Source organism: Homo sapiens, chromosome 8 (assembly GCF_000001405.40).
Source record: "Homo sapiens chromosome 8, GRCh38.p14 Primary Assembly".
Classification (NCBI taxonomy): Eukaryota; Metazoa; Chordata; class Mammalia; order Primates; family Hominidae; genus Homo; species Homo sapiens.
Window position 1 is genome coordinate 128256179 of NC_000008.11, and position 11998 is coordinate 128268176.

At 39.0% G+C, this 11998-nt stretch overlaps 1 annotated feature.

Annotated features, from left to right (window-relative positions):
* Positions 11425-11594: an enhancer, noted in NCBI's record as "active region_27961". NCBI's record gives its function as "activates an Ori minimal core promoter by ATAC-STARR-seq in GM12878 lymphoblastoid cells {active_cell/tissue: GM12878}" and the evidence as "EXISTENCE:reporter gene assay evidence [ECO:0000049][PMID:35858748]".

Below are 11998 nucleotides of genomic sequence, written 5' to 3' on the forward strand. Positions count from 1 at the left end.
AGTAAAGATCTCATTGAGACTAAGAGGAAGATCACCTTTTGAGAGTCCCCCAAAAGTTCACTTTATGTCCTACGATATAAATGCCATTCTAAAACATAAAAAATTATACTTGTTTACACTGTTGGTGGGAGTGTAAATTAGTTCAACCCTTGTGGAACACAGTATGGCAATTCCTCAAAGACCTACAGGCAGATATACCATTTGACCCAGAAATCCCATTACTGAGTATATACCCAAAGGACTATAATTGTTCTGTTATAAAGATACGTGCATGCATATGTTTATTGCAGCACTATTTACAATAGCAAAGGCATGAAATCAACCTAAATGCCTATCAGTGATAGACTGGATAAAGAAAATGTGGTACATACACACCATGGAATACTATGCATCCATAAAAAGAATGATATCACGTCCTTTGCAGGGACATGGATGGAGCTGGAAGCCATTATTCTCAGCAACCTAATGAAGGAAGAGAAGAAGACCAATTATTGCGTGTTCTCACTTGTAAGTGGGAGCTGAATAATGAGAACACATGGACACATGGAGGGGAACAACACACACTGGCCCTGTCAGAGTGTGGGTGTGGAGGAGGGAGAGCATCAGGAAGAATAGCTAATGGATGCTAGTCTTAATACCTAGGTGATGGGATGATCTGTACAGCAAACCACCATGGCAAATGTTTACTTATGCAACAAACCTGCACATCCTACACACGCACCCCTGAACTTAAAAAAGATAAAATAAAATAATAAAAATGTGCTCAATTAAAAATGAAAGTTAGAACTTATTTGTAAAGAGGGTTTTTTAAAGTTGACATAAAATAAGCCATTATCCATTTATTGCAAAGGAACTGAGTTTACAGCAAAACATAAGTCAAGTTCTAGAATACTACGGGTTATTTTTTCAAAATGTGATGATGTGCTCTCCTCATCATCAGGTTTTGATGTGGGAAATTTAGTATCTTCTGCTATTGAAATTAACATTCACTTCTTTTTCGCTTATCCACAGCCATACCCACCCTCATGCTCTGTGTTGCTCAGAAATTCCAAGAAGTTTCCTGTTGCCACACTGACAGGAACAGGCTGGAATGTACTGTGGCTGATAACTGCAATGAGGTGCATAGGCCACCAAGGCAGGCAGGCCCAGGAACAAGTCCTAGCTCCCTTCCTTTCTGCTCAAAGACTTTGTACAAGTTATTTAGCCTTGGTCATAGGTCAGGTTTCCTGGAGAAGAGAGCCCAGGACTCTGAAGTTTATGTGGAGGAAGCTACTTGAGGAGTAGACTCAGGAACAACTCTCGAGGCAGGGAAGCAGGGATTAGGCACAGGGAGAAGTGGGACCATGATGCAATTCAGTGGAGGCCCCCAGAAATCCCCACAGGGAATCCTGCCGCTGGGTTGGCCCTTCAGAATTGTCCCAGTTGAAGGCCGGGCATGGTGGCTCACACCTGTCATCCCAGCACTTTGGGAGGCCGAGGCGGGATGATCACTTGAGGTCAGGAGTTCAAGACCAGCCTGGCCAACATGGTGAAACCCCATCTCCACTAAAAACACAAAACTTAGCTGGGCGTGGTGGTGGGCACCTGTCATCCCAGCTACTGGGGAGGCTGAGGTAGGAGAATCACTTGAGTCCAGGAGGAGGAGGTTGCAATGAGCCAAGATCACACCACTGCACTCCCTCCTGGGTGACAGAGTGAGACTTTGTCTTAAAAAAAGAAAAAAAGTAAAAAAAGAATTTGTCCCAGTTGAGAAGTGGCAGGGCTCTTGTGTATCCATTTTGACCAGTCACGAATGAAAGCTGCCTTCTGAGGAGGAGTAAAAATTGGAGTGAGGAAGTTCTACTTGGCTGAGTCTACAGGCAGCAGCCAGAGATTTTGGTAGCAGGTGAAATGAGTGCCTCCATCTGGGGGCCCCCTGGGGCAGCCTACTACACCTTCCCCTAAATGAAGAGTGAGTCACAGCCTCAGGGAGGCTTAATTATTCTACCTAAAATTTCAGTGCCTTAATCTCATACCCCTTCTACCCTGCCTTATTTTTATCCATGGTATTTTCAGTAGTAATTTATTATAGTAATATGGACTCACCTACTTTATAGTGATTTCTCTATTATGTTTCTGGAACTGCTCTAGAACCCTGTCCAAACTACTTGAGGACAGAGATTTGTTTTGCTCATAACTTTGCCTAGTTTCTAGAACAGGGCTTGGCATGGACTAAACTGTTTATAAATATATTTTTAGTTAAGTGCAATAATGAAATTAATAAATATAATACAGATTGAGGACTTACTTTATGGGAAGCACTCAAGTTCCAAACACTTTCAGTAACTAATAAAATCTTCACAACTGTCAGGAGACCCTAGTATTAATTATCTCCATTTTACAGATGGAGAAACTGAGGCACAGAAAGTTTAATTATCTGGCTAAGACCTTGCAGCTAAGAAGTACTGTATTAAGGATCAGAGCCAGGCAAGTGGATTCCTACTCCAAACTGCTAAGTCCTACTCCCTTTCTTAGCAGGTCCTCACTAAAGGCTAGTCATCCCTTCCCTACCTACATTCCTTTCTTCCTTGTCACCTAGAATCTGTGCATAGTCATCACATATTTGGATGCTCCAGATATCTTGGTCGAATCTTTGCTGTTTTACAGATTCAGTCCAAAGGTGAGAGCTTGGCTCAAACTCCTACCTCCTCTTGCCTTTTTCTCAATACTAGCACCTCAGAACTTGATCGATTCATATAACTTGTTTTTGTTTGTTTCTTTCTTTTTACAAAGCCATTGACAAGTTATGATGCTGTTAGGTTTATGGTGCTGTTTTTCAGGCATCATCTTATTTAATCAGCTCATCTTCCCAGGCATATGTGCAGTGCAAGAATGGCTACCTGAATTTTATAGATGAGGAAACAGAGATTCTAAGAAGCTATTTGGAAGTAAAGTTACTAATTCTAAGTCCCATGCTTGTTCTATTTTTCTCTTTACTTTTCCTTCTTGGGGGCTAGATAATAAGAATTAAGCCTGGAATTTTTCGGCTTTCCAGATTTAGTGAAAGTCACATGGAACATCGGTAAGCATTTCACATTTGCTTTTCCCTATTTGACAAATGAGGAATCTGAGGCACAATGAGGTTACATGATTTCCCCAGATCATAGGGTGATGTCGCTGCAGCTGGGATATTAGTTTCAAAGCTCATGTGCTTTTCACCAACTTACCTGCTTCTTCTAAGTTAGCAGTTCTGAGGTCTGCTTGAAAGCCCCATCTATCTTTCCTTGAGCAATGTAATAGGGTTCATGTTTAACATTTTAGAAATAATGCTAATTAAAAGTTTAAAATCTCAGTTTACTTTAAATGAACTCAAGATGTTATCACTCTGCTGGCCCCAGAAGATATTCAAAGAGATAGTCTTGGCAGAATTTACTTATTATAAAGATTTCCTTTTCTTGAGTGTGATCAGGAAAATTTTACGGTATTTCCAGAAACCTAAGGGATTGGAGGAATATTTCTTCTCCTCTTCGAATTTAATTTAATCTCAAAGCAGCACAGGCAGTCTTCCTGAGACTGAGCTCCAGAACACAGCTTCCAATGTGGAGAAAAGTAACTTGAAGGAGACTGTCTTACAGGGGTCTGTGGAAAACCTGATGTCCTTGCTATGGGTCTACTGGAGTGACGTTTTCAGCTCAAGGGCAGGTGTGAGTGGACGGTGAAGGTGGCTGTCACCAGGCCAAAATCATATTTACTTCTTGAGAGAAATGACTAAGGGAATGCATGTTAAAATTCTGTCCTTATGGTAGAAAAACTCAATTCAGTCCCTGGACTATCAGAGCTCTTTATGACCACTGTTTGAGAACCATCACTCCAATAAAAGCAATGGTAGTTGTGGAGATTTTAAAGTCATCAAGAGGTGGAGAGACTAGTTCCCTAAGCCCTTGAAAAAGGGGAGGAATTTGAGACTTCTTCAACAAATAAAATGTGACAAATAAAAAGTGACCTTAAGTAATTTCTGAGGTTAGGGTAGAAATGCTTCTGTAGCTCCTTTCTGGCTCTCTCTTTTGGAAAATGCATTTTTGGATGGCTACCCTGAAGCTGCCATGTTGGAGTGACCACATGAGGAGACCACATAGAAAGAGGACGGGGCCTGAGGATGCCAGCTGATGCCTTGTAGAGCAAAGATGAGTCTTCCCTGCTGAGTTTGGCCCAAATGGCACCATCATTAACTAAGTAGATGATCATTACTTATTTATGCATCATGTTGGGGGTGATTTGTCACACAGCAACAGATAATCTTAGTAATAGCCAATATCATACATGGCAGATTGGAATGTCTTAGTCTCCAATAATTAACAGAGAAAAATTCTGCATGTGGAATTTACATTCCTGCATCAAATACAGGAGTCACTTCATAAAATGTTATTAAATGAACTGACGAATGAATGGGTAAATAATCTTAGGGAGATCTCTTTCAGAAGAAAAACACTTGAGGTCTATAAGTGACCACATTCATAATTGAAGCCAACCATGGGATGAGGTTGTTAAAAAACCATAGAGCCCAATTTAAAGGAGTAAATGGTTTTCTCATTACCTATAATGATTTGATCACAAATAAGTCTTACAATAATTTTGGACATGGCAATTTAAGAGGATCTAACAAACTGAAGGGTGGCCAGGATGGTGTGCAATCTCAAAAGCCTGTTCCATGACAAGTTGAGAGGTATTTAATTAGCCTGGAGAACAGAAAGGAAGACAAAGAATTGTTTCAGACCCTTGGAGAAGATGACAGGCTTCTTTTCTGTTACTCACAAGTTGGAGTAGAACAAACAGTCCAATGCTGTAAAGTAGCAGTTGGTGAACTTTTCTATAAAGGGGCAGATAGTAAATATTTGAGGCTTCAGAAGCCACATGGCCTCTGTTATGACTACTCACTCAACTCTGCCTTTGCAGCAGAAAATAAACCATGGTCAATAAGTAGACAAATGAGATGGTCATCTCCAATAAAACTTTATTTATAAAAACAGGCAATGGGCAATATTTGGCCCCCTGATATAAAAAGATTGATTTTTTTTTCAATATAAGCTTGAGTTTCCTAATAAAGCTATTAAACTTCAGAATTGCTTTAGAGAAGACTGATATTTTGTTAGTGTGTTTAAAATACACTAAATGTACTAGACTGTGACAAAATAGTCTCAACACATATATCTGGCAAACACTTCTAAAGAGAATATATACAATCTCATACAACTCAATAATAATAAGATCTTGCCTCTATCCAAATTGGTAAAAGTTTTGGACACTTCATAAAAGAAGATACAGAGATGGCAAATAAGCATCTGAAAATCTATAGTACATAATCTGTCATCGGAGAAATGCAAGTTTAAATCACAATAAGTTATCAATATATTCATTAAAATGACTGAAATGAGAAAGACTGACAATATCAAGTGTCAGTGAGAGTGTAGGCAACTGAAATGCTCAACATTGCCAGTAAAAGTATGCATTAGTCCGTTTTCACACTGCTATAAAGAAATACCTGAGACTGGGTAATTTATAAAGGAAAGAGGTTTAACTGACTGACAGTTATGCATGACTGGGGAAGCCTCAGGAAATTTACAATCATGGTGGAAGAGGAAGCAGGCATGTCTTACATGGCAGCAGGTGAGAGAGAGTGTGTGTGAGCACAGGAAAAATTACCCTTTATAAAACCATCAGATCTTGTGAGAATTTACTCACTATCATGAGAATAGCATGGGGGAAATCACCCCAATAATCCAATCCCTTCCCAATAGGTTCCTCTCTCAACACATGGGGATTATGGAGGTTACAATTTGAGATGAGATTTGGGTGGGGACACAGAGACAAACCATATCAGAATTTAAAATGCCATAACAATTTGAAAGATATATTTGGCAGTTTCTTGTGAAGTTAAGCACTTGCTTATCATCAATCAGCCATTCAAATACCAGCTATTCTCTTTATTTACCCAAGAGAAATAAAAATATATGGCCACAAAAAGACTTGTACACAAATGTTCATAGCAGCTTTATTTGTAATAGTTTCAAACTGGAACAGTCCAAGTGTCTGTTAACAGACAAATGGATACACAAATTGTGGTATATATGTACAACTGAACATTTCTCAGCAATGAAAAGAATAAACTATTGATACTACAACATGAAAGAATTTCAAAATATGTTGAGAAAAAGTAGCCAGACACAAAATACATATTTTAGTATACTGTACACATGAAATTCTAGAACAGGAAAAATTAATCTATGATGACATTTAAGATTTGTGCAAAGCAGATTAGAGGTTGTCTGGGGCTGAGGCTGAAACAGATTGGCTTTAAAAGTTCAGAAAGAAATTTTCTGGTGTCAAAGAAATGTTTTATATTGTGACTTTGATGGTGGTTATATGGTACAGTCAAACATCAGTTGTCTAATGTTAGACCAGCAGATAAATTTGCCAAAACTCATCAACTGTGTATATATGTATTTTATTGTATGCAGATTTTGTCACAATAAAATTGATTTTAAAAAGGCCAAATAGCCAGCCATTGTGGATACAGTAATAATAATAATGATATTAATGGTTAATATTTATTGCATGCTTACATTGTACCAGATGTTGGGCCAGGTGTTTTGAGAGCTGATGCTCATTTAATTCTACAGCTATCTTTAAAGTAATAGTGGTATTATCTCCATGTTACAGATGGAAAACCCAAGCCTCAGAGAGATTTAATAATTTTCTCAAGGCCATGCACTAGTTATTTGTGGAGGTGGGGTTTTAAATCAGATCTATCAGAGCCTCAGACTTCAGGCTCATTAGTTAGAAGTCTGAACCATGTAACTCCAAAAGTTCTTTCTAATTTAAGATTCTAGGAATATTCACAAACATCAGTTGTCTGATGTTAGACCAGCAGATAAGAATCATGTAGTCTGTTGCCTAATTTAAACATATTTTTTTAGTTACTGGGGAGTAGCACCATTGTTGGACAGTTGAAACGACCATTTGATTTATTGGATAGATCATCGGAAACATCATTTGGAGCATGTGATTGCCAACTCTCAGGCTGAAAAATAAAATGTGGTTGTTTTTACCATTAGGCCTCATCTTGCTGTTACCTCACAGAGCATTTATGAGTAGACCTGGTGTGATGTTGATATAATGGTATCTGCGTTATCCAAAAATAAATCAGACAGCTCCACATGTCTCCTATTCCTGGATCCAGGCTAAAGAAGCAGCAGCTACTTGCACAGCTGGGTCTAGGAGTAAGAGAGTCTCCTTTGTCCTTTCCTCAGAAGATGACCTACCAGTCTCGTCTTCTTACCCTCTTGGCTCCTCTCTGGATTTGCTGGTTCTTAAGGAAAAACCCCATGCCTCAAATAGACCTAGAGGTCAAACTGTAGGTCCTTGGGGGATTAAGATGTTGGCCTTCAGCATTTCTGATCTTTTAGGGCATTTAAGGATCTAAATATTATTTTGAATAACAGTGACCTGTAGTATTAGTAATCTTTTGTGACCTTGATGGGGTTAGGAAATTATTTTCAAATGGGGATTTACTCTCTGATGAAGGGGGTATGTTCTGTGACAAATCTCACTCCCACAACAGCTGCAACATTCTCTACTACCACATCACTTTGTGAACATCAAGCAGGAAAAATGAAGAGGCCTGGCAAAATATCCATTCCTATAGAACATTCAGCTTTCTTCTATGTAGGAGGAATCCATAGACTAAAGATTATTAAACTCTGCCTTGAGAAAGCCAGTTATATTGTCTGTTATATTGGTTGAGTCAAGCTTCTGTAGAATTGGTTCTGCCAGGGCTTGCATAACGTATCTTAAAGATAGTGAATAATCTCAGGTTCACAAGAGTAGATAATTCTCTAAAACTTGAGTAAGTTAAGAGGCAATTGGATAGATATATAGCAAATAATGTTGCACTATTGAGTACACTTTTGAACCAAAAAAAAAATCATGTTTTCTACTGGACCCAATGGACCAGTCCTATCTATCTATATCTATCTATCTATCTATCTATCTATCTATCTATCTATCTATCTATCTATCATCTTCATTAGAGTGGAAAAAAATGGCAAGGTGATTTTATTTTCATTTGTAAAGCTTTTCTACTATCTTCTCTCCTCCACTCCCAAACCCTGCCTGAAAGATTTATTATCAAGACTCTGGAACTCTTAAAGCCCTGACTAAGCAGGTTCAAGTGTGATAGAATCCTGGAAAGAATCCCTTAAGGGCCTCAGAAAACTCTTAGACTGTAGCCCCAACAACATGGCCAGCCTGAATCACAGCAGAGGACATGGCTCTGCATGGCCCCAAGAAAAGCCACAGAACCAGAGACTTAGAAGGAGCCTTAGCAATCAGGGGGCTCTAAGACCAAATTCTGTAGATGGGAGACTTGTGGCAGAGAGAGGTCATGTAACTTGCTCAAGGTCACACAGCAATGTAGGAGCAAAAGCTAGGATAGGAATCAAAATCTCCATACTTTGGAAGGCACCTTTTTTTTTTTCTATAAAAAGGTTCTTCCTCTTCTTTTGTGTGATCTGTTCACTGTTAAAGCTATTTTACATTTTCTTGATTTGTTCGGTTTTGTAATTCTCATTGGTTCCTTGAGTCAAACACATAGAGTTGTGGTGTTACATCTCATATTCTCACCATTGACATCTAATAATAAGTACTAATGTTTTGCTTTTACTAAAAGTCAGTTTGGTGCTTAGAAATTATAAATCTTGGACAAATCCCTCGATTTCTTTAAGCATTGTAATCTAAGAATAAATTGAGGAATTTGCCCAAAACTTAGTTTATAAAATAAGGCTGGATAATCCTAAACACTCAGTAGATCAGTTTAAAGATTAGCGAAATATATGTTACATTCCAAGCAGAACATCTAGCATGCAGTACATGCTCTGTAACAAGTTGGCAAACTTCTTCCATAAAGGGTCAAAGTAAACATTTTAAATTTTGCTAACCATTTGGTCTCTGCCACCACTGCTTAATTCTGCTATTATAGCATGAAAATATTCATAGAGAATGTGGAACTGAACAAGTATGGCTGTATTCCAATAAAACTTTATTTACAAAAACAAGTGGTGGGCCAGACTTAGCCCATGGGCTTTTGTTTAAAGACTCCTACTTTAAATGGCAGCTACTCAATAGTTATTGCTGTGATTATGCTAGAAATTGATGTGTGTAGCAGACGAGGATGAGTTTCCTTCAAATGCCTTCTGAAAAATTGATGATATGTTTTTCCTGCAGAAGCAAGCTGTTCATTGAGTCATTAAACCCCTTATCGTATATTGTTGAACAGAGCATTGTTTTGCAGCCATACAGATTTGTAATGCAGTGATATTTCCAGGCATGCTGAGGAACGTTCTAATTCTGGCACTGCCACTAATGCACTTTGTAATCTTGGGTGCACCTATTTTCATCTCAGAGCCTCAGTTTCCCTCTCTATAAAATAAGAGATAAGAATGATTGTCTTACACTCTCATTCAACTCTAAAATATCATGAGTCTGTGATGCAAATTTTCCATGAAGAACCTATTTGATGTGAAAGTCTCATGGACTCTGAGGAGAAACGACACATATCCTTAAGTCTTGGGGATTTAATTCTCCTATCTACTTGTGAATGTGGAAGGGGCAGGAGGGGAGAGGGTGGTCAGAGTACCAATACTGTTTGTTTTTATATCACTTTATTTTGGATACAATCCAAATCCACTGGCTTCAAAAAATCAACGCTCAACTAAGTACTTCTTAAATTGTCAAATAACATTTTCTTTAATTCAATAACATATGCCAATCACCTACAAAGATTAGTGTTGGGTGTTAAGGGAAAATCAATACTGAAGAGTCTGCACCTTTGCTCTCAAGAAGCTTTCCTTCTCATGGGAGAAGTAGACAATTTACTATAAAATAAAACCACATGGGACATATTCAAGAGGACAATAACAATAACTTCTAATAGAACAATTATAATAACCAGCATGTCTTGAGTGCCTATTATTAGCAAGATACTTCTCTAAGCACTTCAACTAATCTCCTTTGATTCTGATAATGACTCTATGAGCTAGATGCTTCATTTGTCAGATGAGAAAACTGAGGCACAGCCAGTGAGTGGCAGAACGGGATATGAACCCAACAGCCTGTCTCTAGAGCTCATGCTTTCAATCACTCTGCTATATCGTTCCCCGAGGAGCCCAGGCTTCATAACATGCGAGTGAGGCAGGAGAGACGTGTTCCACCAGAGAGGGAAGACGGAGTAGAGTAAACTTTAAAGGATAAGGATGAGAGAGAGAACATTTTTCCCACCATGTAGCAACATACTCCTTGTCATTATTAGGAAAACTGTGAGCAGAGATGTAATGCATTGTGTCTACATTTTTATAGAAAAATAACTAGAGCTAGAACTGGAGCCCAGCTATCTTGCCTCTTCTTCAAAGCTTTCCTTATTTGTTTATGATATCTGATTGGAGTAACAAGTCAAGGTTTTTGACCCACTTGGAATCTATTTGTACTATTGATTCTTTAATATTTTCTAGATAGTGACTCTTTTTTTTAACTTAAGTAGAAATATTACAGAAGAAAAATTAATCGTGATGACTTTTAATGAAAAACAGGTATCGATTGTTATAATTATTTAAAATGTACTTCTAAACTTTACAACAAAAACATAATATTTATCCATGTACCACTCAGAAGCAAATCCCCATGTATGGTGGCACTTGAGGAGCTGTGCAGGGCCTCCTCCAGACCTGACTTGTCAGGGGTGGGCTTTGAAAAGTTGCTGCAAGTTTTCTAGACCATGCTCCATCCTCCTTCATCAAGTAAATGCAAATGAATCACACCCTGATCCTTATGAAAAAACAGCATGAAACTTCTGTCCTTATTTTCTCCTCTTGATACACAAAAACTGCATCAGAAGCAGCCTTGGGAAAAGAAAGTCAACTAATTTTTTATTCACATCCCAGTGTCTGCAGCATTTTTTGACCACCCTCAAGGGTACAGACTATTAGAGTGAGAGATAAATGCAAACATGATCCTCAGGGATCATATCTGAAGCTGAATTTGGGATTACAACCCCGAGGACCTGGGCTCATGGTGATGTTGCCAATAACAATCTCAGCTGAGTAGTGAGGCTGTTCAGCTTGCTGTCAAACACCACTCACATTGCTGCATTTTTTTCCTCATGGTCACTCTGTGTGGGTGGATAGGCTTTTTAAAATCCCCATTATACAGATGAAGTTCAGTGAAGTTAAGCAATTTTCTCAGGGTCACACATTTTGAAAGAAGAGAGAACACGTAAAATGAAGAGAATGTGGGGGCCAGGGGCATGTTTTTCTTTGGTTTTGCAGTGGCAGGTGAGCAAAAGGAGGGGCATGAGAGTCAGATGGGAGGTAGCCTGAAACTTAGCTTACTCTTGTGTCTGCCAATAGAAGGTGGGGAGTGTCTCTCAGTGAATGCTGATTTATGTGTGAGTAACAGAATGAAGGAGGAAAAAAAGGAAGCCTGGTTTCTAATTTTATCTTCTGTGGCACTTTACCAGAAAGTCCCTCAAGGTGGCCGGAAGTTGGAAGCCCTCAAGGGGAGAAGCTCTAGAGCGGCATGCAAAGGCTTCGGCAGATGAGAGGACACAGGGAGGTGACCCACCACGTAACCTTCCACCTGGGCCTCTTCCTCTTAGACTTCTCCCCTGCTGCTCATTTGCATAATGGATCCCCATATGGGGTTGTTTTATTTACCTTCACAAGGAGGATGAGTGCTTTAGAAAAAGATGAGATGAGGAGCTTTGATTTTCCAAAGCCCTCTTTCTACTTCTCCTGCCCTCCCACTCCCACCCTCTCTCTTTTACTCTCTCTTGTCTTTGCTTTCTTATTGTCCATATAAATGAGCACCTTGCTTCAGTGACAAATCTATTTCTTCCAGTGAATGGTTGCCAGTGGATGTTTATCTCTTTGAGAGGTTTATTCCAGGTGGATTTACAGCTATAGTGCATTTA